Raw genomic sequence first — 26,729 nt, 5'->3', positions numbered from 1 at the left:
GGGACTACAGGCACGTGCCACCATGCCCAGCTAGTTTTTTTTTATTTTTGGTAGAGATGAGGTCTCATGATGTTGCCCAGGTTGGTCTCGAACTCCTGGATCCACCCTCCTCGGCCTCCCAAAGTGCTGGGATTACAAGCGTGAGCCACTATGCCTGGCCAAGCCTCCACTCTTGCCCACCTTGTTATACTAGCAGCAAGTGATGACAACAATGATAACTGACTTTTAAGCACGGATAGTACATGTGCTAAGCACTGTACATTCATTATTGGATTAAATCACTCGAACGACCCTACGAAGTAAATATGATTATTCCCCATTTTATGGAAGAGGAAACTGAATAAATGAATGGCTGGTGGGCTTCGCCTCTCAATAGCTAATTTTTATCACATACCTTCTCAACAGAATTGGGTATTAGGACAGACACATTCATACTGATGATAGCCTTTCATCTCCACAACCCCAATAAGACGTCAGTGTTAGTTCTTTCACTTTCTAGATGATATAACTGAGGCTTGGAACAGTTACATTTCCTGTTACACAGCTAAAAGCGCTAGAGCTGTGATTCAAACCCTAGGCAATCTGCCCCCAAAACACACATTCCTGCCATTCTAAACTACTGTGCCAAGCCTACAAGCCAGTTGCCTTTAGCCATGCTTAATTGAAGAATGATGCCATATGGAATATGCCTGGCTAGGCTGATTAAATTAATCGAATGTCAAAATATCTGGGTGGACAAGAAGACAAGTCAGTGTGAGTCGAAAGGAATGCGTAACTGCCCCAGGCCCCTGGTTTTTGGGGGGCAGTGTTGCTTAGTGGTAAGGAGCCCAGAGTGCCAGAGCCAGCCTGCGTGGGTTCAAATCTCAGCTTTACCATTGACTAGCTGTATGACCTTAGGCATGTTGCTTAACTTTTCTGTACCTAGTTTATTCATCTGTAAAATGGGTATGATGATGGCAATATGACAGTGCCCATCTCCTACGGTTAATAGGATAATTAAACCAGTTAATATATGTAAAGCACTTAGAACACAGCCTGGCATGCTGTCAGCATTATATAAGAGCCTGTGATTCCATCCACGAGTTGGGCAATGTATGCAAGCACTTAAGTTTTGTCACATGCAAAAATATCTTTGCTGAGTTGTGATTTGATGTTATACCCTAGTTTTTATAGAGGGTGGATGTGACAAATAGTTATTGAAGAATGTGTCAGTGTCACTGACGAAGCTGAGGACATTGTTCACCATGTTGCACAACGCCCTTTATCTCAACATTCCCATGCTCGCTCTGTTCCTCCCGGAGCTGAACATCAGGAAAGACCATGTCTCTCCAGACCAGCACGTGTGATGTCTGGGAGCAGCACAAGACCCCTTTGGCTGTCAGGAATTTGGAAATAAAATGAAAGGTGCTGTTCATTGGCTTAAGCTGAGGTCCTAGGACATTCTCCTTTTCCTGTTGTTTGTTTTCTTTATCAAAAACATTGTTTTAACTTTGATGTTTTTGAAATGGAAATTGTTTTATAGATTATTTCTGATTTTAAAACATATGTATCTTGATTGTAAAGAAAAATATTAATATTTTGATGTATCCCCTTATAGATGTTTGTATATACATTTGGGTATGTATAATGTACGTGTGTGTTATGTATATTATATGCATCTGTATGTGTAAACATGGATATGTGTGTGCATATGTTTTTGGAAACAAAATTTTAGAAAAGGGAAAATGGTGCCATACTGTTTTGAAACCTACCATTTGCTTTTAGCTTACTGCAGACATTTTAAGGAGTTACAATACCTCAGGGTATGCTTGTTGAAAAAGAAAAGAAGTTACAATAATAGCAGTCATAACTTTATTCATTCATTTAGCAAAATATGTATGATACCCGTAAGTATTTTCTAGGCACGCTCTCTAGGCTCTGAGAACATAAAGCTGAACAAAATAGATAAGATATGCCCCTCATAGGAGCTATCAAACCATAAACCACTAAAAATGATCATTTCAAATGCTGCTGTGAAGAAAGTGATGCCCATATGTTGAGGGCAACATTGAAAAGGGGGTCATAAAAGCCTGCTTAGGTGAGGCGCAGTGGCTCATGCCTGTAATCCCAGCACTTTGGGAGGCAGAGGAGGGTGGACCCCCTGAGGTCAGGCGTTCAAGACCAGCCTGGCCAACATGATGAAACCCAATCTCTCCTAAAACACAAAAAGTAGCCAGGCTTGGTGGCGGGCACCTCTAATCCTAGCTACTCAGGAGGCTGAAGTGAGAGGATCACTTGAACCCGGGAGGCGGAGGTTGCAGTGAGCCGAGATCATACCACTGTACTCCAGCCTAGGTGACAAAGTGAAACTCCATCTCAAAAAATAAAAATAATAAATAAATAAACATTTTTTAAAAATAAAGCCTGCTTTGAGGAAGGGATGTGTGAGCTGAAGTGTGAGTCATGAGAATGGGACAGCCTTGACCGCATCCTGGCAGGAAAATGGAGGAATTGGCAAGTGCACAGGCCCTGTGGTAAGAGCAAGCGTGGTCCATTCTAGGAACAGCAAGAAGGCTACTGTGGCTGGAGCTGATCAACACACAGGTGGAGAGACCAGAAGGGCTCAGTTCTTGCAGATCCTGGGGAAGGGCTTGGGTTTTTCATTCAGTGTCATGCTCTGATTTAGCCATCTGAAGATCAAGATGACTGCCTGCTTGGTGGGGACTGCAGGGACCAAGAGTGGAAGCCAGGAGAACAATTACAGGAATCCAGGTGGCATGCACTAGAGTGGCAGCAATAGACATGCCAAACCCTGGCTGGATTTAGACTTAATTTTGAAGTAAGTCAAAAGAGGTACTTGCAGAGGTAAGGAATAGGGGATTCAAGGACAGCTCTGAGGCTTTGGATAACAACAATAGTTATTATAGTCAGCCCTCTGTTCCAAGGATTCAGCCAACTGTGGATGGAAAATATTTCTTAAAAATACAATAACAAGTGGGCGGCCGACAAGATGGCTGAATAGGAACAGCTCCAGTCTGCAGCTCCCAGCAAGATCAACACAGAAGGCAGTGATTTCTCCATTTCCAACTGAGGTACCCAGCTCATCTCATTGGTACTGATTAGACAGTTGATGCAGCCCACGGAAGGTGAGCCGAAGCAGGGTGGGGCGTTGCCTCACCCAGGAAGTACAAGGGATTGGGGGAACTCCCTCTCCTAGCTAAGGGAAGCCATGAAGGACTGTGCCTTGAGGAACGGTGCATTCCAGCCCAGATACTACGCTTTTCCCATGGTCTTCGCAACCCATGGATCAGGAGATTCCCTCGGGTGTCTGCATCACCAGGGCTCTGGTTTTCAAGCAAAAAACTGGATGGCCGTTTGGGCAGACACTGAGCTAGCTGCAGGAGTTTTTTTTCATACCGCAGTGGTGCCTGGAATGCCAGCAAGACAGAACCATTCACTCCCCTGGAAAGGGGACTAAAGCCAGGGAGCCAAGTGGTCTAGCTCAGTGGATCCCACCCCCATGGAGCCCAGCAAGCTAAGATCCACTGTCTTGAAATTCTCGCTGCCAGCACAGCAGCCTGAAGTCGACCTGGGACACTCGAGTTTGGTTGGGGGAGAGGCATCCGCCATAACTGAGGCTTGAGTAGGCGGTTTTCCCCTCACAGTGTAAACAACGCCTCTGGGAAGTTTGAACTAGGTGGAGCCCACTACAGCTCAGCAAAGCCACTGTGGCCAGACTGCCTCTCTAGATTCCTCCTCTCTGGTCAGGACATCTTTGAAAGAAAGGCAGCACCCCCAGTCAGGCGCTTATAGATAAAACTCCCTGGGACAGAGCATCTGGGGGAAGGGGTGGCTCTGGGCGCAGTTTCAGCAGACCTAAACGTTCCTGCCTGCTGGCTCTGAAGAGAGCAGTGGATCTCCCAGCACAGTGCTCGAGCTCTGCTAAGAAACAGACTACCTCCTCAAGTGGGTCCCGGACCCCCATGCCTCCTGACTGGGAGACACCTCCCAGCAGGGATCAACAGACACTTCATACGGGAGAGCTCTGGCTGGCATCTGGCAGGTGCCCCTCTGAGACAAAGCTTCCAGAGGAAGGAACAGGCAGCATTCTTTGCTGTTCTGCAGCCTCTGCTGGTGATACCCAGGCAAACAGGGTCTAGAGTGGACCTCCAGCAAACTCCAGCAGACCTGCAGCAGAAGGGCCTGACTATTTTAACGAAAACTAACAAACAGAAAGGAATAGCATCAATATCAACAAAAAGTATGTCCACACAAAAACCCCATCCGAAGGTCACCAACATCAAACACCAAAGGTAGATAAATCCATGAAGATGAGGAAAAACCAGTGCAAAAAGGCTGAAAATTCCAAAAACCAGAATACTTCTTCTCCTCCAAAGGATCACAACTCCTCACCAGCAAGGGAACAAAACTGGAGGGAGAATGAGTTTGTCGAATTGACAGAAGTAGGCTTCAGAAGGTGGGGAATAACAAACTTCTCTGAGCTAAAGGAGCAATGCAAGGAAGCTAAGAACCTTGCAAAAAGGTTAGAGGAATTGCTAACTAGAATAACCAGTTTAGAGAAGAACATAAATGACCTGATGGAGCTGAAAAACACAGGATGAGAACTTCGTGAAGTATACACAAGTATCAATAGCTGAATCGATCAAGTAGAAGAAAGGATATCAGAGATTGAAGATCACCCTAATGAAATAAAGTGTGAAGACAAGATTAGAGAAAAAATAATGAAAAGGAAAAAACAAAACCTCCAAGAAATATGAGACTATGTGAAAAGACCAATCCTACATTTGATTGGTGTACCTGAAAGTGACAAGCAGAATGGAGCCAAGCTGGAAAACATTCTTCAGGATATTATCCAGGAGAACTTTCCCAACCTAGGAAGACAGGCCAACATTCAAATTTAGGAAATACAGAGAACACCACAAAGATACTCCTTGAAAAGAGCAACCCCACGACACATAATCGTCAGATTCACCAAGTTTGAAATGAAGGAAATAATGTTAAGGCAGCCAGAGAGAAAGGTCGGGTTACCCACAAAGGGAAGCCCATCAGACTAACAGCTGATTTCTCTGCAGAAACCCTACAAGCCAGAAGAGAGTGGGGGCCAATATTCAACACTCTTAAAGAAAAGAATTTTCAACCCAGAATTTTATATCCAGCCAAACTAAGCTTCATAAGCGAAGGAGAAATAAAGTTCTTTACAGACAATCAAATGCTGAGAGATTTTTGTCATCACCAGCCCTGCCTTACAGGAGCTCCTGAAAGAAGCACTAAATATGGAAAGGAAAAACTGGTACCACCCACTGCAAAAACATACCAAATTGTAAAGACCATCAACACTATGAAGAAACTGCATCAACTAACGGGCAAAATAACCAGATAGCATCATAATGACAGGATCAAATTCACACAACAATATTAACCTTAAATGTAAATGGGCTAAATGCCCCAGTTAAAAGACACAGACTGGCAAATTGGATAGAGTCAAGACCCATTGGTGTGCTGTATTCAGGAGACCCATCTCATGTGTAAAGACACACATAGGCTCAAAATAAAGCTATGGAGGAATATTTACCAAGCCAAAAAAAAAAAAAAAAGCAGGGGTTGCAATCCTAGTCTCTGATAAAACAGACTTTAAACCAACACAGATCAAAAAAGACAAAGAAGGGCATTACATAATGGTAAAGGGATCAATGCAACAAGAAGAGCTAACTATCCTAAATATACATGCACCCAATACAGGAGCACTCAGGTTCATAAAGCAAGTTCTTAGGGACCTACAAAGAGACTTAGACTCCCACACAATAATAGTGGGAGACTTTAACCCCACTATCAATATTACACAGATGAATGCGACAGAAAATTAACAAGGATATTCAGGACTTGAACTCAGCTCTGGACCAAGTGGACCTAACTGACATCTACAGAACTCTGCACCCCAAATCAACAGAATATACATTATTCTCAGCACCACATCACACTTATTCTAAAATTGACTACATAGTTGGAAGTAAAACACTCCTCAGAAAATGCAAAAGAACAAAAATCATAACAAACAGTCTCTCAGACCACAGTGCAATCAAATTAGAACTCAGGATTAAGAAACTCACTCAAAACTGCACAACTACATGGAAACTGAACAATCTGCTTCTGAATGATTACTGGGTAAATAATAAAATTAAGGCAGAAATACATAAGTTCTTTGAAACCAATGAGAACAAAGGCACAGCATACCAGAATCTCTGGGATACAACTAAAGCAGTGTTTAGAGGGAAATTTATAGCACTGAATACCCACAGGAGAAAGCAGGAAAGATCTAAAATTGACACCCTAACATCACAATTAAAAGAACTAGAGAAGCAAGAGCAAACAAATTCGAAAGCTAGAAGACAAGAAATAACTAAGATCAGAGCACAACTGAAGGAGATAGAGACACGAAAAACCCTTCAAAAAATCAATGAATCCAGGAGCTGGTTTTTTGAAAAGATTAACAAAATAGATAGAACGCTAGCCAGACTAGTAAAGAATAAAAAAGAGAAGGAATCAAGTAGACACAATAAAAAATGATAAAGGGGATATCACTACTGATCCCACAGAAATACAAACTACCATCAGAGAATACTATAAACACCTCTACGCAAATAAACTAGAAAATCTAGAAGAAATGGATAAATTCCTGAACACATACACCCTCCCAAGACTAAACAAGGAAGAAGTCAAATATCTGAATAGACCAATAACAAGTTCTGAAATTGAGGCAGTAATTAATAGCCTACCAACCAAAAAACTCCCAGGACAAGACGCATTCACAGCCGAATTCTACCACAGGTACAAAGAGGAGCTGATACCATTCCTTCTGAAACGATGCCAAACAATAGAAAAAGAGGGACTCCTCCCTAACTCATTTTATGAGGCCAGCATCATCCTGATACCAAAACCTGGCAGAGACACAACAAAAAAAGAAAATTTTAGGCCAATATCCCTGATGAACATCGATGCAAAAATCCTCAATAAAATACTGGCAAACTGAATCCAGCAGCATATCAAAAAGCTTAGCCACACGATTAAGTTGGCTTCATCCCTGGGACGCAAGGCTGGTTCATCATATGCAAATCAATAAAGGTAATCCATCACATAAACAGAACCAATGACAAGAACCACATGATTATCTCAATAGATGCAGAAAAGGCCTTCGATAAAATTCAACACCGCTTCATGTTAAAAACTCTCAATAAACTAGGTATTGATGGAATGTATCTCATATACGTAATAATAAGAGCTATTTATGACAAACCCACGGCCAATATCATACTGAATGAGCAAAAGCTGGAAGCATTCCCTTTGAAAACCAGCACAAGACAAGGATGCCCTCTCTTACCACTCCTATTCAACATAGTATTGGAAGTTTTAGCCAGGGCAATCAGGCAAGAGAAAGAAGTAACGAGTATTCAAATAGGAAGAGAGGAAGTCAAATTGCATCTGTTTGCAGATGACATGATTTTATATTTAGAAAACCCCATCGTCTCAGCCCAAAATCTCCTTAAGCTGACAAGCAACTTCAGCAAAGTCTCAGGATACAAAATCAATGTGCAAAAATCACAAGCATTCCTATACACCAATAATAGACAAGCAGTGAGCCAAATCTTGAGTGAACTCCCATTCACAATTGCTACAAAGAGAATAAAATACCTAGGAATACAACTTACAAGGGATGTAAAGGACCTCTTCAAGGAGAACTGCAAACCACTGCTCAAGGAAATAAGAGAGGACACAAACAAATGGAAAAAGATTCCATGCTCATGGATAGGAAGAACCAATATTGTGAAAATGGCCATACTGCCCAAAGTAATTTGTAGATTCAATGCTATCCCTATCAAACTACCATTGACTTTCTTCACAGAATTAAAAAAAACTACTTTAAATTTCATATGGAACCAAAAAAGAGCCCATATAGCCAAGACAATCCTAAGCAAAAGAACAAAGCTGGAGGCATAATGCTACCTGACTTCAAACTATACTACAAAGCTACAGTAGCCAAAACAGCATGGTACTGGTACCAAAACAGATACACAGACAAATGAAACAGAGCAGAGGCTTCAGGAATAATGCCACACATCTACAACCATCTGATCTTTGACATATCTGACAAAAACAAGCAATGGGGAAAGAATTCCCTATTTAATAAATAGTATTGGGAAAACTGGCTAGCCATATGCAGAAAACTGAAACTGGACCCCTTCCTTACACTTTATACAAAAATTAACTCAAGATGGATTAAAGACTTAAATGTAAGACTTAAAACCATAAAAACCCTGGGAGAAAATCTAGGCAATACCATTCAGGACATAGGCATGGGCAAAGACTTAATGACTAAAACACCAAAAGCAATGGCAACAGAAGCCAAAATTGACAAATAGGATCTAATTAAATGAAATAACTTCTGCACAGCAAAAGAAACTATCATCAGAGTAAACAGGCAACCTAAAGAATGGGAGAAAATTTTTGCAATCCATCCATCTGACGAAGGGCTAATATCCAGAATTTACAAGGAACTTAAACAAATGTACAAGAAAAAAAACAAACAACCCCATCAAAAGGTGGGCAAAGGATATGAACAGACACTTCTCAAAAGAAGACATTTATGCAGTCAACAAACATGAAAAAAAAGCTCATCATTGCTGGTCATTAGAGAAATGCAAATCAAAACCACAATGAGATACCATCTCATGCCAGTTAGAACAGCAATCATTAAAAAGCCAGGAAACAATAGATGCTGGAGAGGATGTGGAGAAATGGGAAAGCTTTTTTTTTTTTTTGAGACGGAGTCTCACTCTGTTGCCAGGCTGGAGTACAGTGGCATGATCTCAGCTCACTGAGACCTCCACCTTCTGGGTTCAAGCAATTCTCCTGCCTCAGCCTCCCGAGTAGCTGGGACTACAGGCGTGCTCCACCATGCCCAGCTAATTTTTGTATTTTTAGTAGAGACGGGGTTATACTGTGTTGGCCAGGATGGTCTCGATCTCTTGACCTCATGATCCGCCTGCCTCAGCCTCCCAAAGTGCTAGGATTACAGGCTTGAGCCATCACACCTGGCCAGGAATGCTTTTACACTGTTGGTGGGAGTGTAAATTAGTTCAACCATTGTGGAAGACAGTGTGGTGATTCCTCAAGGGTCTAGAACCAGAAATACCATTTGACCCAACAATCCCACAGTATAATCCTTTGGGTATATACTGGGTATATACCCAAAGATTATAAATCATTCTACTATAAAGACACATGCACATATATGTTTATTGCAGCACTGTTCACAACAGCAAAGACTTGGAACCAACCCAAATGCCCATCAATGATAGACTGGATAAAGAAAATGCGACACATATACACCATGGAATACTATGCAGCCATAAAAAAGGATGAGTTCATGTCATTTGCAGGGACATGGATGAAGCTGGAAACCATCATTCTCAGCAAAGTAACACAGGAACAGAAAACCAAACACCACATGTTCTCACTCATAAGTGGGAGTTGAACAATGAGAACACATGGACACAGAGAGGGGAACATCACACACCAGGGCCTGTCAGAGGGTGGGGGGCAAGTGGAGGAATAGCATTAGGAGAAATACCTAATGTAGATGACGGGTTGGTGGGTACAGCAAACCACCATGGCACATGTATATCTACGTAACAAACCTGCATGTTCTGCACATGTATCCCAGAACTTAGAGTATAATTTAAAAAATACAATAACAAATAACATTACAACAATAAAAATAATGCAAATAAAAACCAATACAGTAGAACAACTATTTACATAGAGTTTACATTGAATACAATGTACATGATACAAGGTATCATAAGTAATCTAGAGATGATTTAAAGTATACAGGAGGGGGCTGGGCACAGTAGCTTACACGTGTAATCCTAGTACTTTGGGAGGCAGAGATAGACAGATCACTTGAGGTCAAGGGTTCAAGACTAGCCTGGCCAACATGGCAAAACCCCATCTCTACTAAAAATACAAAAAATTAGCCAGGTGTGTTAGCACATGCCTGTAATCCCAGCTACTCAGGAGGCTGAAGCACAAGAATCCCTTGAACCCAGGAGGTGGAGGTTGCAGTTAGCTGAGATCACACCTCTCTGGGAGACAGAGTAAGACTCTGCTTCAAAAAAATAAAAAATAAAGTATACTGGAGGGGACTGGGCACAGTGGCTCATGCCTGAAATCCCAACACTTTGGGAGGCCAAGGTGGGGACGGATGGCTTGAGCTCAGGAGTTCAAAACCAGCTTGGCCAACATGGTGAAACGCTGTCTCTACAAAAAGTACAAAAAAATTAGGATATGGTGGCACATGCCTATGGTCCCAGCTACTCAGGAGGCCAAGGTAGGAGGATTGCATTTGCCTAGGAGGTCAAGGGTGCAGTGAGCTGTGATCACACCACTGCACTCCAGCCTGGGCAACAGAGCAAGACCCTGTCCCCTCAAAAAAATGTATATGGGAGGATGTGCATATGTTATATGCAAATACTACATCATTTTATATCAAGGACCTGAGCATCCTCAGATTTTGGTATCCCTGTGGGGTTCAGGAACGAATCCCCCTCAGACACCGAGGAATGACTATATTTACTGAGAAGTTACTAACGCCAAGAACTGTGCTAAGCCCATGTATAGATTGACTCCACAGTTCCCCAAGTAGGTCTGTGGTCTGAGGTATTAGACCCACCTGCTGTGGTCCTGAAAATGCAGGATTTATATTCATATCATTATTCCAGGGATCTCATTTGTGGCCAAGCTAGGGGATATCAGTGCACATTTAATCATTCAACAAGTCCACAGGTAGGACTTTGTATATTAGTTTTACAGAGTGGGAAAGTGAGGCTCTGGAAGCATAAGTGATGGCACTAAGTTGACAGTCCCTCTGACTTCACAGCTGGGCACCTAGGCACTACAGTCCAAACACTGGCAATAAATATGGCACCACCCAGTGACTTAACAGCTGCCCCGGATTCTACTTTATGGATTACCTCGTACTAAGTAAACACAATCTTTCCTTTTTACCTTTTCTTTTCATTACTTTGGGGTGTGACATGGACTTGGGTTCCAAACCGTGGGCTTAAAATCCTTTCTAGATGTAGCCAGAGTGAAGCACCACTTCAGTAGCAGTTAATTACCTTTAATGATAATTGGTAACACTAATAATTGCAGCTCCCATTTACTGAGCGCTTACTACAGGCCAGGCCCTGTGCTACGGGTGATGTGTGCCCTTTGAACACATCATCTCCTTCATCCCGCCCAAGTGAGTGTGGGCTGGGGATATTCACATCGCCCTCAGCTCCCTCCCTCCCTCCCTCCCGGGTATGCGGGGAGACAGTGATACCATCAGTCAAGCCTGGTGATTAAGCATCTTGGGCCTTTGCTACTGTTTCCATAATAAGGTAGTGGCTTTTGACCTACTTCCTGGGCCAAAACCCTCTCTGGGGATTTGATGGCTCTGTGTAAAACCTGACCCGTGGTCTATCTCCTTGTGGTCAAGAATCAGGGTGGGGCAGTGGGCGCTGGTGGAGAGAAAGGGGGAGGAAAGATTGCAGCATGAATCAGACCCTGGCTCCACACTTAATGGTCACCAAGAAGTCTGCCCCACCGTGGTGGCATTCCAGAGGCCAGAGGCCAGTGTGACTACTGCAGCTGGAATCTGACAACTGTGGCTTCCACCATAATGACACCTTGAGAGACGCTTGGTGGTCACATGGGGTGTGTTTTCTTCCCTACTTTTCTCTCACAGTCTTTTCCACTCTCAGCCAGGCCCTTGGGCTGTCCCTGGGGAAGGGAGCAGAGAGCTATTCGAGTAGAATGCTTGGTAGGCAAGCACTTCCTCTGGGGACTCTTGTATTCATGCACTCATTGGTTCCTCTGTACATCCATCCATCCATCCTTCCATCCATCTATCCATCCATCCATCCATCCATCCATCCATCCATCCATCCCTCCCACCCTCCCTCTATCCATCCATCCATCCATCCATCTATCCATCCATCCATCCATCCATCCATCCATCCATCCATCCATCCTTCCATCCATCTATCTATCCATCCATCCATCCATCCATCCATCCATCCATCCAACCATCCATCCATCCTTCCATCTATCCATCCACCCACCCATCTGTTTATCCATCCAGCAAATGACTATGTCTAAGGCACACTTGTAGATATTTGGGGCTATGGGAAATAACAAGGAGTAAGACACAGACCCTGCTCTCAAGGAGCCTGCACTCTCACGTGGGAAATAGAAGTAAACTGACAATGCCGTAAACTTTGGGAGTAGTTTCTAGGAGACATATTAAGCTGTGCTGAACAAGTTCATTTGAATTACTCAGAGCCAGTTTGGCCTCTGGAGGCACACATCCCTGCTCAGATCTCAGCTCCACCAATTATCATCTGCATGGCCTTGGGTAAGGCACTTCACTTCTCTGAGCCTCAATTCCCTCATCTGTAAAATGGGAGTAATTATAATACCTACTTCACTGAGTTGTGAGAATTAAAAGGAATATGTATGTACAGGACAATGCCTGGCCTGTAGTAGATGTGGAATCATCGGTTAGTTCATTTCTCTTTTCTTCTTTAAGCTCTCTGGGGGGTACAGAAATGGATAAGCTCTAGTTCCTATCACAAAGGGACTTAGAATGTAGTAAGAGAGAGTGACCGTGGGTTTAGCCCTTGCTGCTTGCCAAGTACCATGAAATACTTCCTGTTTATTTTCACATTTAGTTTGTACAACACAGTGAAGGCTTTATAATTCCCATTTCACAGATAAGGTAATGGAAGCTCAGAGAGTTAAATGACTTGCCAAGTTTGCACAGCTAATAAGTGGCAAAGCTGGGATCTGAACCCTGGTTTATTTTACTGCCGAGTCCACAGTCAAACACTAGGTTATAGTGTCTGTACACAGCTGTGCATGGTAGAAGGTAATAAGTATCCTAATAAAGTGTCAAACATATTGTTCTGAAAACATGGAGAAAGAACTTCTTGGAGAAGATGGTATTTGAGCTCCATTGTGAAGGAGAGAAATCTAGAATATCAGTCTCATTTCACAGAGATCACAGGTGGCAACTGTGGTCTTCCAGGCAGACAGCACAGCTTGGGTAAAAGCATGAAGGCGAAAAGTGTGCAGTGCTTTAAGGGAGTAATCCCAGAATCACATACCATTTATAAAACCTGAACATCATGTTAGTCCGATCCCATTATGTCACCGGTGACAAAACCGAGGTCCTGGCCCAGGCCCCGTGGTAGTGAGTGGCAATGCTGGGGTCAGCCCAGCATTGTTGGAGTGCAGAGTGTGGGACAGATAAGGCTCACCAGAAAAGTGGGAGTCAGATTACAGAAGACCTTGATTCTAGTGTGAGGAGTCTGGAAATAGAGAACGGTTGAAGGTACCTGAACAAGGTGAGTTCCAACCTATTGATGGCGGAACTGGAGGGACCACAGCCCCACGGGATAGGAATCTTTGGTGGGGTCCAGCAAATCACTGGCTTCATGGGATTTGAGCCACTTCAACTGGTCTGGAGCTCTTCATCATGGGGACATTCATTTGCTTATCAAAAAAATAGGTTTGCTTGAGGACTGGCAGTTCTAACAAGGTGTTTTGATTTCTAGATTTAGAGGTCTCCCCTGTTAAATAAATGCCCTCATAGAACTCTGTATTTTCTCCTTTGGAGCACTTATCACAGTGTATCATTAAAGTTAATTGTGTGAAAGTAGTGACTGTCTGGCTCCATGGTGGGATCAAAGCTGTCGTCTGTTTTTTTCAACACCATATACCTAACATCTAGCAAGGGCCTGGCATAGAAGGGCTTAATCAAAATTTTTTAATGAATCAATGAACCAACCAATGAATCAAAACTAAGTTCAGCCCGATCAATTTCCAGATAAGAAAACTGAGGTCCAGAGAGAAGCAATTCCTTCATTCAACTTGACACGTATTCCTTGACCTACTATGCACCAGGCAATATCGTAAATATAATGAACAAGACAGACGAGGTCCCTGTCCTCAGAGGGATTAGGAGTGAATAAACAATACGTGAGTAAACAGATACATTGAAAAGGCAGTTCTGTTAGGTGCCTGTCTTGAGAACAAGGTTTCCCTTGGAAACAGGATGGGCTGGCCAGAGATGACTCTTCTTTTCCTTAGCACACACTTCATCCTCTACCTCCTCCAAATATTTTGAAGGTTTTGGTTTAAATCAACATGTGGGATCAACTCTCAGGCATTTTCTCCCAAACCAGATTGAACATTTGGAGTTCTGGGATGATGAGTTTGAAGCCACCAATAGCATTTGTGGAGCACACTATCTGCTTCTAGAAATGTAGGCAGGCCAGGCACAGTGACTCATGCCTGTAATCCCAACACTTTGGGAGACTGAGGCAGGCAGATCACTTGAGCTCAGGAGTTCAAGACTAGCATGGGCAACACAGGGAGACCCAGTCTCTACAAAAGAAAATACAAAAAAAAAAATTAGCTGACCTTGGTGGTGTGCACCAGTAGTCCCAGCTACTTGAGAGGCTGAGGTGGGAGGATCTTTTGAGCCCAGGGGGCGGAGGCTGCAGTGAGCCATGATTGTGCTACTACAGTCCAGTGACAGAGTGAGATCCTTTCTCAAAAACAAACAAACAACAACAAAAAAAAACAAAAAGAAAGAAAAAAAAAGTAGGGCAGACCAAGAGATAGAGCCCACAGCTTACATCATCCCAAAGGTCAAATTCCACTTGATGAGGCAAAGAGAACCATGGAGGTTCTCATTATTGTTTGAGTTTGCATTTCCTTGATTATGAATGAGGTGAAACATCTTTTCACACACTTCCTGGCCATTTGAGTTTCCTCCCCTGTGAAGTGGTTGTTCGTGGCCTTCTTTTTTTCTATGACCTCTGCCTCCTTTCGCACAGGAGGAAACTAAGGTTGACAGTCAACATGACTCGCCTAAAATCAGATAGCTATTCTACATAAAATTACAGAAAACTATGTTATCTATCGTATGTTGCCTTCCTCAAGGTAGGTACCTGCTCAAGACCTGTGTGTTGGACCGAATTTAAATGAATAGAGAACAACCCTGAATGTGAGACACCATCCTTGGGTGGTGAAAGGAACAGAGATCTGGAGTCAGCCAGCCCGGGAGGGCACTAAACCTGGCTGTGCTGTGTGATCTTAGATAAGCACCAAGCCTCTCTAAGCCTCCATTTCCTTATGGAAATGTCAGAATCTCTACCCCCAGGTGAATCAGGAAACCTACTACAGGGCTTGCTCAGGGACCATTCTTTTTTCCCTCTCGCCCCTTCCTGGAGGATGCCGAACAGCCAAGTGCACAGGGTTGTGGAGGCCAAATCAAGCAGGCACAAATAGGAAAGCAGGCTGGATGATGGCCCCTAAAATGTGCAGTCTTAATCCCCAGAGCTTGTGAATATGTTACCTCACCTGCTCGAAGGGACTTTGCAGATGTAATTAAGCTAAGGATCTTGACACGAGAGATTATCTGGGTGGACCCAATGTAATCACCAGGTTTTATGGTCAGAAAGTTCAGAGATACAGAAAGAGAAGTGAGGACAGAAGGCAGAGGTTAGAGTGATGTTCTTTGAAGATGGAGGAAGGGGTCACAAGCCAAGGGATGGAGGCAACCTCTAGAAATTGATAAAAAGAAGAAAATAGATTCTTCCCTGGAGCCTTGGAGGGAGCATGGCCCTGATGACATCTGGATTTGATCCAGCAAAACCCACTTCAGACTTCTTTATTTTTATTTATTTTTATCTCTTTGAGACAAGGTCTCTGTCACCCAGGCTAGAGTGCAGTGGCACAGTCATAGCTCACAGCAGCTTCGACCTCCTGGGCTTAAGCAATCCTCCTACCTCAGCCTCCTGACCAGCTGGGACTTCAGGCACGCACCACCACACTTGGTTAATTTTTTTACTTTTTGTAGAGATGGGGTCTCACTATGTTGTCCAGGTTGGTCTCAAATTCCTGGCCTCAAATGATCCTCCTGCCACAGCCTCCTAAAGTGCTGGGATTACAGGCATGAGTCACCGCACCCAGCCCCATTTCAGACTTCTAATACGTAGAACTGTAAGAGGATACATCTGTGTTGTTTTAAACCACTAAGTTTGGGGTAATTCATCGCAGTGGCAGTAGGAAACCAACAGAGATGACATCTTGGAAAAACCAAGTTTTCTGAAGGAGGGGAGAGACATGAATGGTGGTGAAGAAACAATAATAGCTCCTGTGTTTTTTTTAAGTGTTTATTTTATACCAAGAACTGTTCAAAACCCTTGTTTCAAATTACTTCATTTAATCCTCACATCACCAAGTGAGATAAAAGCCGTTATCCCATTTGCCAACCAAGAGAACAAAGGCCCAGCAAGGGCGAAGAATTTAGTCCTGTTAAGTTAGTGGAGGAGCTGGGATTGGAACCCAAGTCCACCTGTCACCAAAACACCATGATTTTCCCGAAGTGGAAGTCTATGGCTTGGCCAGAGGCCAGAGGAAGTCTAGGCTTTAGTTTTAGAGCTGGCAGGTTGCTGCCAAGTTCACTTATTTTGTGCCTAGCATTGCACTAATGCAGGGGAGCCCCATACTCCCTGGGAGACAGGATGTGGTGGAACACAGAGACCCAACCTGAACGATCCTGAAAATATAACCACGTTCTAAAATGCCTAATTGTGTTTAAATGAAGTGGAGAGGGGAAGAAAAAGAGATATTGGGCCTAGCAGGGTGGGCTTTTGAGAGAAGGTGGAGCCTTAACTGGTCCTTGAAGAATGAATAGGAATTAGGGAGATGGGGAGAGGCGCCTCTGATGGGGGAAAGGGCTAGAGAAGGGGATGCTGCCTGTGCCATCCCAGACTGTGATGTAGCAGAAACTCAGTCCTGGGAGAACTTATACAACTCTACGAGAAAAACCTTGCAGATGCCGAAAGCTAAATGGATGAAGGAAAGGTTAGAAGACAGGAATAAGCAATTCACGAACACATGGAAAGATGTTCCGTCTCATTAGTTATTGAAGGAATTAAAAATTAAAATGAGATGCAAATGGTTGCCTATCAAATCAGCCCAGATTTGAGGAAATGATAATAGCCAAGGTTGCCAAGGGCGTGGTTGAAAGAGGAGCTCTCATTCGTGGCTGGTGGGAGTGGAAATTAGTACAACTGTTTTGGAAAACAATTTGGCAATGGGTCTTAAAAGCCCTTGATATGTTGATATCCTTTGATCCTGTACCTTCTCTTCAGGGAGACTTGCTTAGGTTATTGTGAACAGGGAAAACCCTTGTATATGAAATTCTCACTGCATCCTTACTTATACAGTGGAATAACTACCACAGCGTCCCAGAGGGCAATGTGAAGTAAATTACGGTATCTCAACCTAGTGAAATATGATGTATCCATTCAAAATAATGGCAGCAAAAATCTAGATTTGCTTTAATATTTTACATTAAGTGACTACAGCAGGACACAGACTTTCACCTCTAGTAGAGCAGACACATACAAAGTGTTTTTTGTAATTGTGGTTAAAAAAAAAAAAAACCTCCACAACATAAATTTACTCCCTTAACTATTTTTAAGTGTACAGTAGTGTTAACTATACGCACGTTGTCATATAACAGAGCTCTAGAACTTTTTTTTGTTTTGTTTTGTTTTTTGAGACAGAGTCTCACTCTGTCGCTGGGGCCGGAGTGCAGTGGCACGATCTCGGCTCACTGCAACCTCTGCCTCCCGGGTTCAAACGAGTCTCCTGCCTCAGCCTCCTGAGTAGCTGGGATTATAGCCACCCGCCACCATGCCCGGCTAATTTTTTGTATTTTTAGTAGAGACGGGGTTTCACCATGTTGGCCAGGCTGGTCTCGAACTCCTGACCTCGTGATTCGCCCCCCCCTTGGCCTCCCAAAGTGCTGGGATTACAGGCGTGAGCCACCGCGCCCGGCCAGCTCTAGAACTTCTTAATCTTGCATGACCGAAAATCTATACCCACCAAACAACTCCTCATTCCCCTCTCTTGAGTCCCAGGCAACCAGCACCCTACTTTCTGTTTCTATGAGTTTGAATGACTTTAGATACCTCACAGAAGTGGAATCGTGCAGTATTTGCCTTTTTGTAACTGGTTTACTTCACTTAGCATAATGTCAAAGTGTTTTCTAAAGGATTCAAATAAAAGATGCCAAAACTTGTGGTTGGCTTTGAGTGGTGGGTCTAAATATGGTTTTAAGAGTTCTTTCTACATTTCCCTTTTTCCAAATGGTTTAGGCGTGTAGTATTCCTTTAATAATAAAATAAGACTCATTTCTTTTTAAGGAAAAAGGACGAGAAAGTGGGTCCCAGAGGCCTAGGAAGTAGCACATTCTTAAACTTGTCACATGCTATGGAGGTGATAGGCTGGCACAAAGAAGACCTTAGGCTAAAGAAAAGGCTCCAATAAGAGGCCCAAAGCATCCAAGCTTCCCCTTGCCATCTTGCCTTCCCAGAAGACCAGTTGCCTTCTGGGTAAGGCCTGAGAGTCAGGGACGTAGAGGACACCCTGCCCCGGTTCTCTTCTCCGAGAATCTACCACTTCTGGGCCCAGATTTTTTTTTTTTTTTTTTTTTTTTTTTTTTTTTTTTTTTTTTTTTTGAGACGGAGTCTCACTCTGTCGCCCAGACTGGAGTGCAATGGCGCGATCTCGGCTCACTGCAAGCTCCGCTTCCCAGGTTCACGCCATTCTCCTGCCTCAGCCTCCCGAGTAGCTGGGACCACAGGCGCCCGCCACCGCGCCCGGCTAATTTTTTGTATTTTTAGTAGGGACAGGGCTTCACCGTGGTCTCGATCTCCCAGCCTCGTGATCCACTGGGCCCAGTATTGATTAGCGACAGGGCCAGCTGACATTCACCACCCAAGACAACTATGATTCATTCCTCCCTCTCCCAGGGAATGTCAAATAGCTGTCTGCTCTTGGCTGTCTCTAAACCCACCCAGCCAAGCAGCCCTCGGGGACTTCAGCCGAGCTCCACCCGCCACGTGCAGACTTAAAAGGAAGGACTGATGCTAGGTGGGCATAAATTAGGAAGTAGGTGGAGGGGGCAGAAATACATCCACCCAGTACTGTGTTTTGGGTCCACTGCTGTATTGGAAAATCCTTGCGGGCCCAGATCTTTTGTTGTCCAGCATCTCCGCCCTCCAGCCCTGATTACAGGGTTGTAGACCTTGTAGAGACTTCATAAATATTCATTCATTGGATGAACCAAGAGCATCCTATCATTTGGGCAAACAGCTCATTTGAGGTGTGGTGCATTCATCTTGGGAAATCATCAAGACACCGGAAAGTTACAGCAACAGGCAGAGGACAGGCAGGGAGGAGACCTCAGGCAGAGGACATGCAGGGAGGAGACCACAGGCAGGGAGCTGGAAAGGATGCCAGGCCCAGCAAAGGGGATCTCAGTTACCTTCCATCCCGCCCTGCTTCCATGCTGCTACCTCTGAGTGCCAGACCCCTCCCCAACTTGATGTCTACTTCTATCCCTAAGAAGCATGATATGAACATAGGCAACACACTTCTCCCATCCTATTCAGGTCAGCTGGAATACAATAAGCACCGACTGCTACCATCCCTCAGGACCAGGAAAACCAAGTGTGAGTCCCAGCTCTGCTGCTTACGAGCTGAGTGACCTTGGGCAAGTCATGTATCCAAGGGGCAACAGACTATATAATAACTATGTAAGGAATACCTAATTTTAAAATATTCATTTTTTGAGTTCTTGGAAACTTTACAAATAGCACCTACTTCTCGCAATGCCCTGTGACGGAGGGACTATTCTTATCCCCATTTTACAGAGAAAGAAAGCCCAGATTCAGAGAGGTTTAGAAAATTTCCCAAAGTCATAAGGTTATGAAGTGGTAGAGCTGAGATCTGGACCAGCTCTGATGACTTTACAACTTGGGCTCTGCCATCAGGCCATGCTGCTTCCCATCCACAACTACCTAAAAAGCATTGCTGTAAGGCTCTAAAATGGGGTCACGTATGTGAAAGCGTGTTGTGAACTCCAGTGCACCACATGATTGTTAGGCTGGCTGTGGAGACATTCACAGGACAGGGAGAGGGGAAGGGACTGGAAAATCTCAGGACCACCTACCACACCTGCATCTGTCCCTATAAGCTTCTCAATTCCCATGAGGGTGTTTGGCCCTCAGGCAGCCCTCCCTCCTAAGATGGACCGGAAGAAATTCTCCTTGCTCTGGAACTAAGAGTAGTTTCACAACTAGGGCTGTGTCCCATGAGCTCTCTCCATCAACCAATTGATCTTTCCATCAGCTGACAAGGTGTCCAGAGTGCCTAATATGCATTCAGCACAGCGCCAAGCCCTCTGCCTTCACTGGGGGGCCAGGCCAGGCTTCAGGAGGCAGGCTTTTGCCCCAAGAGAGCTGCCTAACTCCAGGGCTCTGGGGAAAGAGAGGCTGACTAGAGAAAGCCCTCTTTCAGATGTCACTGGAGGTAAGAACTCATAGATGACAAAATCACATGCTTTGTAGGTCTGGCTGCCTGAACTGGCTGTTGATTGACTCAACTGTACAATTCATCACCCATTTATCATGGTTACTGAACAACTTCTCAGCAAAGCTGGGTGGCACAGCGATCAACCACGTGGGCTCTGGAATCAGACAGACCTGTGTTGAAACTTGGCACTGTGTTAATGAAATCACTTCAACTTTCTGATCCTCAGTGGCCACATCTGCAAGATGGGGTAATATGATCCATTCACAGAATTTCTGTGAGGAGTGGAAGAGATGATGCATGTGGAGGCTTCAGCACAGTGGGTATGTAGTAAGTGCTTCAGCATGTAGTAGGTGCTCAGTAAATGTACCTGTGTGTGGCCAGAGCTACTTAGATAGGTAACTAAGATGAATAAGAAAAAGGCTTGCCTTCAAGGATTATACATTCAGTAGCAGGGTCAGAAAACCGCAGTCTATACTGTAATCATGACTGCACTTAATATTTATATTTAGTTATTCCATTCAATCCTTGCCCAACCAAGATCAGGCAACAAAAACTTTGTAGAGCCAGGATTTGAACCCAAGTATGGCTTACTAAGATTGAGACATTAATTTGGAGAAAAGGATCAGACCTAGAGTTAGGAGACCCAGGAATGAGTCATCTTTTTGGATCAATTTTCCTAGCTGTCATATATATATTTGGACATTTGGAAATGAATGTGCTGGGCACTTACCAAGTTGATGATTATTACATATGGTGGTAGAAACTGAAACCAGACATAGTCCTACAGAAAGTAAATTAGAGGCAAGGTCTGAAATCCTTTCTGACTTCTGAGCCTGTGCTCTTTCCCATGTGCTATGTCGACCTGCCAGCCTTGAAGGTCTGATGAGAAATTCACCACGGGTCTGCCAAGGCAGCAATAGGCTTACCAATCATTCATTGTTCTATTGTCAATCACTAGTTTTGAGGAACTGATGGATTTGTACTAAGGTAATTGTGTCTCCTGGGTGACCTAATCATGACACCAGGCAATGAAGAAAGGAGACAAGAGAGAATACTTTCACGGAGCCTGCATGTATTCATGACCTACTGTGTGCTCAGCCCTATGCCAAACCCCAGCATACAGGTGTCATGCCCTCCCTATGCTTCCAGGCTTGTGGTGAGCCAAGGCAAACACCCAGGAAGTATCCAACCACACAAGACTCTAACCAGAAGCTCAGTTTTACTTTGAATTATGAAGACCTTGGAGTCATACAGAACTGGGTGCAAAACTGAGTTCTGATACTCAGTGCCTGTGCAGTTTTGAGCAAGTCACTTCACCTCTCTGAGCCTGTGAAATGGAGACGAGAAGGATGTACTCAGGAATGTTGGCTGACAAAGACTGTGTTGGGTTGTGAAGACAGGGTGGGTTCCAAGACCACCTAGGGGGAACACTACAGCCTTGTGGTTGCCAACTAAAGAAAAATCAGGCTTTGAAATAGTTTTTATTTTTTATTTTTTGAGATAGAGTCTCACTCTGTTACCCAGGCTGGAGTGACATGGCGCCATCTCGGCTCACTGCAACCTCTGCCTTCTGGGTTCAAGCGATTCTCCTGCCTCAGTCTCCTCAGTAGCTGGGATTACAGGCGTGCGCCACTACACCCGGCTAATTTTTGTATTTTTAGTAGAGACGGGGGTTTCACCATGTTGCCCAGGCTGGTCTCGAACTCCTGACCTCAGGTGATCTGCCCACCTTGGCCTCCCAAAGTGCTGGGATTACAGGTGTGAGCCACCGTCCCCAGCCTAAGAATTAGTTTTATTAAGAGGATCGCAACCTGGTAGTCTTTCAGAGAGTTTATGTTAGGCTGCTTCAAAGCAGTATTTAAGTCCAGTTTATATGAAGGTGGAAGTGGTTCTGCATGTGCTCAGAAGTTACATCAAACCTACTAAGAAGTTACATTAGAGCAAAATCTTATGAAAGTTTGGGTGCGAGGGTACATGTGTTTATAGATTACAGAGGCACAATCATTAGTCCTGTCAGTACCTTATGCACAGGAAGAGGCAAGGGCCAGGATCATTGAACTTATTTTTTTCTAAAAATGCTGTGATTCGGGCAAGAGATGTGGGAACCTGTGCTCTATCCCGCTCATCATCTTAAGAGCAGGAGGGCTGCGCTGTCACGAGTCAAGGGCTTTGTGAAATTCTGCTGGGAGCAAACATTGCTCCTTACCTCTGCTACTTTGCCTCATGTGGTTAAGAGAGGACTTGTGTAACAGACAGACCGGGGACAGAATACTAACTGCTCCATCATAGCTGCATGACTGTGCAATTTATTCAATTTCCCAGGTCTCTCTGTTTCTTATAGGAACAGAATGCAGTGATAGCAAGCTATCTCCTGGAGGAGATAGAGACACATCACAGAACAGGAATAGCAAAACTCCAGGGGCAAAGCCCCCAAAGAGCGCACCTATGATATTCGGCTGGACTTAAAAAAAGAGAGAGCGAGTCTAGGGGGTGCCACCAGCCCTGCAGCAACCCTATAAGGGCCTCATGCAGCCGACTATGGGTGCGACTACCTGTTCCTCCACAGGCAAAGATGGAGGCCCAGAAACACCACTTCTGGTGTTAAAAGCTGAGGGTAAATTTCCAGTCCCAGGCTGCACCACGCAGCTGAGCTCTTAGTGGAAGGCCCTGATTGGGTCTGCTTGCCACCGTCCAACATTGAGCTCTCCTATTGGACAGAGCCTCTGCGCCAGCATGCCTCTCTGTATCACCATGAGCCAATTAGCAGAGGCCGGGCTGTGAGGTCACCCAGGGGCCAGGCCTGGCTCCAGCTATAGCTGGGAAGGAGCCGTTTCCCACAGCGTCCAAGACTCCTCTGCAGTTCATAGCTTGACCTGGCTTTCTTCCCTATGTGCCAGCTCCTCACGGTCATTGATCTGCAGATGGACTCGAATCTGTCCTTCACACGCACGTTTATGAGGCACTGGCCAGAGTGGTGTCGTCTGTGGCCCTGGGACGGAATTTGTGTGCCTAGCAGCATTGCCTATCCAAGACCAAGATGGTGGAAATTACCCGCTCCTTACTTGGAAGTCTGGACAGGACTCGATTGATGGCTGCCGTAACCTAAGCACCAGGTGGAGCATCAAGATGATGCACACGTGCCCGTGTCCACAAAGAGCATCTGCGTCCTTGCGGAAAGAGGAAGGTAGTTGCAGAAATGTAATACAAAGTAGAAAATATCTGTGCCTCAAAAGAGGTGAAGATAGCTTGCAAAAGAGGTGAAGATGTAGTGCTCTGGGAAGGCTGCTGGAGCTAGAGCACGAAGGACGAGAGCAGATGGCTTTTTAGGACAATGCCACTGTGGCCATCACTGAGTGTTAGCGAGGAACTCACAGTCCTCACAAGATCTCTCTTAGAGGGAGACAGAGGAGTATAGTGGTTGGAAGCTCAGGCCTTGGAGTTGGCCCACTGGTTTCAAATTCCTCTTCTATTTTCTAGCTCTGTGAACTTATGAGATGAAAGTACCTCGGTGCCCGGCATATCAACGAATGGTTATTATCAATTCTCAAATGAACTATCACATGCCCTCAGATAACACATCACAAACTCCGGGATCCACAACGACAGGACTAGAACCTTAGCCTCTTCCGGTTCTTCGGTAATCTGCAATTCACGTTGAATGGTGAGAAGAGAGGATGGAGCAGACAGACCCACAGAGGCCTTTACTCAACTCCACACCTCCTCTCTGGTGGCCTTAAGTGAGGCAGGGAAGGCTTACCCGAATCCCTGAGGTGAGCACTCCATCTCGCCCTGATGTCTGCCTGGTCTGTGATGGCGTCCTGGCCTTCCCGCAAGCCTTGGTCGGGGGCTGACCTTTCACCAGATGAAATGGACCCCTTCAGTGGTTGAGGAAGAGAGAGACTTACCCCTGCCTTCTGTAGCCTGTCATTAGGGGGCAGTCAGCAGCCTAGGGACATGCAAAGGTTTCTAGCCCTTTAACTCTTGATTCTCAACTCCTTCCTTCCCCGGCTCTCCCCCAGGTATCTTATGAGCAGGGGAGGCTTCTAGTGTGAAGCTAGCTCCTCCACAGCTTTAAGATAAAGTTTCATCACTGGTTGGCACTCTCCTTCCAGTTGTTTGTTACCATATTCTCATCTGTAAGAGATATATTTTAAAGCCCCAGCAAGGAAAGAATTGTTGGGCCTTGCTCTGTGTTTTGCAGTTGCCTTTATTTTAGTACTAACCTGAAAGTAATTATCTGTGGCTGAGTCTGCTTCCACTGGGGTCCTCGAGGGCCGGATCTGTGTCTGATTCATCTCTGTGCTCCCAGAATTGAGTATAAGGCCTGGTACAGGGGGGTGCCCCATGAATATTTTGAGGGGTGGATGGATGGATGGCATAGCTCATCCATTTGGGCCTAGACGCTTGGGAACTCACATCACAACAGAAAACTGTCCCAATTTCTCACCCTCTTACCTGATCTAGGTTATTGCCTAAAATTCCCCCATTTGACAGTTCATCTCTTTGAATTCATCATTTACCGCCTTGGCCTCCTGGAATTTGGATTCTCTTTTAAAATCAGTTCGTCAGGGGTTCTGGAGGGTTTTAAGTGTCTGGGGGGTTTTAAGAGGTTCATGAGTCCCATGAAAGTGTTGGCAGGATTTTCAAAATGTGTGGGTACAGTTTCCTGGTGGCGAGGGTTACCACTAGCTTTCTTCAGATTTCCAAAGGGGCCGTGACAAGAAGAGGTGAAGAAATACCGTGAGGATAGAGGGCTGTAACGCGGAGACTTTCTGAAGACCCTGGGTCATCAGTCCTCTCATTTATAGAGGGGAGAGAACGGCACTCACAGGGTTGTTGTCAGAATTCAGTGGTTTTTGGAGATTCCTCAAATTGTACTGGGTCTCCTACATACACCCCTGAGGGCACACTGGAACTTCCTGGAAGGATTTCTATGGCTCTTGAAGTCTTTCTGTGGCCCACATGGCCCTCCAGGCCCTCTCACAGCTTGCTTTCCTGTCTGTCCCCTCAAGCCACAGCTCTTTTTACTTCCTTGAGTGACCCCTGCTTCCTCCCATCATGGGTTCTTTGCACTTCCTGCTCCCTCTTCCTGGAATGCTTTCTCAGAGGTGCCACCCTCATTCCCTCTTTGCCTGAATAACTCTTGCTTTTCCTTCAGATCTCTGCACACTTATCTCTTCAAGGATGACTTCCCTGACCATCCTGACTAGACCAAAACCCTCCTTCACAGGCCCTTAGAGCACTGGAAACTGCTTCAGCACACTGCTGAATTAGTTTTATAATTTTACACTGACTTTTATGATCCCTTAATTGGTGTCTGGCACCACCACTGCATTGCGGGCTCCAGGGAGGCAGGAACCACATCCATTTTTTCCTCTGCATTCTATTCCCAGGACCTAGCACAATATGTACACATAATAGGTGCTAAATAAACTGGTGTTAGGAGCCTCAAAACTCTTGTTTTCGTGTACTGGAATGCTTTCTCTAATGCTTTTTTTGTTGTTTCTGCAGAGTTCATGAGGAGGGCTTGTTCTCATGAATAATGTGGGATGGTCATTCTGGGTGTGGACTCTAGAACCAGACCACCTGAGTTCAAATTCTGGCTGTGCCTCTTACTAATGTAGGTCAATCCTACATTTTGGAAATGAGGAAAGTAAGGCTCAGAGAGGCTAAACTATGTACCCAAGGTCACACAGTGGAAAAAACTAGGATTTGAAAATAATAGGACTGACTCCAAAATCTATGCTGTTTTCATTCTAATACTGGGCATTTTTGTTAGAAAAAAGCTCTGAAAGTTTATTTGGGGTGATAGAACAGTTCTGTATCCTGATTGTGGTGATGGTTATACAAGCCCGTACATGTGATAAAATTTCAGAGAAACATACACAAGCACACACACAGAGTGCATGTAATGTAGAAACTTGTAAAATCCAAAGAAGATCTGTTTTTGAGTTAACGGCATTGTACCTATGTCAGTTTCCTGGTTTTGACAGTGTACTTTGGTTGTGTAAGATGTTATCATTGTGGGAAGCTGGGTGAAGGGTACACAAGAACTCTCTAAACTATGTATGCAACTTATTATGAGTGTGAAACTATTTGAAAATAAAGAATATTATTTGTTAAATGAATTCTGACAGTCAATAAAGGGGGAGTTGAGACTGGCTAATAAACAATGGACATCCCTATCTTACTTAAGGTCTCTTGGGCTGGGGATCAGGAGACTTGCAGAG

The 26,729-nt window shown here is 44.5% G+C and overlaps 1 annotated feature.

Annotated features, from left to right (window-relative positions):
• Window positions 22,804–23,370: an enhancer, noted in NCBI's record as "H3K27ac-H3K4me1 hESC enhancer chr1:24581311-24581877 (GRCh37/hg19 assembly coordinates)". NCBI's record gives its function as "activates a minimal SCP1, AML or CMV promoter by ChIP-STARR-seq in primed H9 embryonic stem cells {active_cell/tissue: H9 hESC(primed)}" and the evidence as "EXISTENCE:reporter gene assay evidence [ECO:0000049][PMID:30033119]".

Source organism: Homo sapiens, chromosome 1, assembly GCF_000001405.40.
Source record: "Homo sapiens chromosome 1, GRCh38.p14 Primary Assembly".
In the NCBI taxonomy this organism is placed as follows: Eukaryota; Metazoa; Chordata; class Mammalia; order Primates; family Hominidae; genus Homo; species Homo sapiens.
The sequence above is the reverse complement of the archived record's forward strand: the minus strand, read 5'-3'. Positions and strand labels throughout refer to the sequence as shown.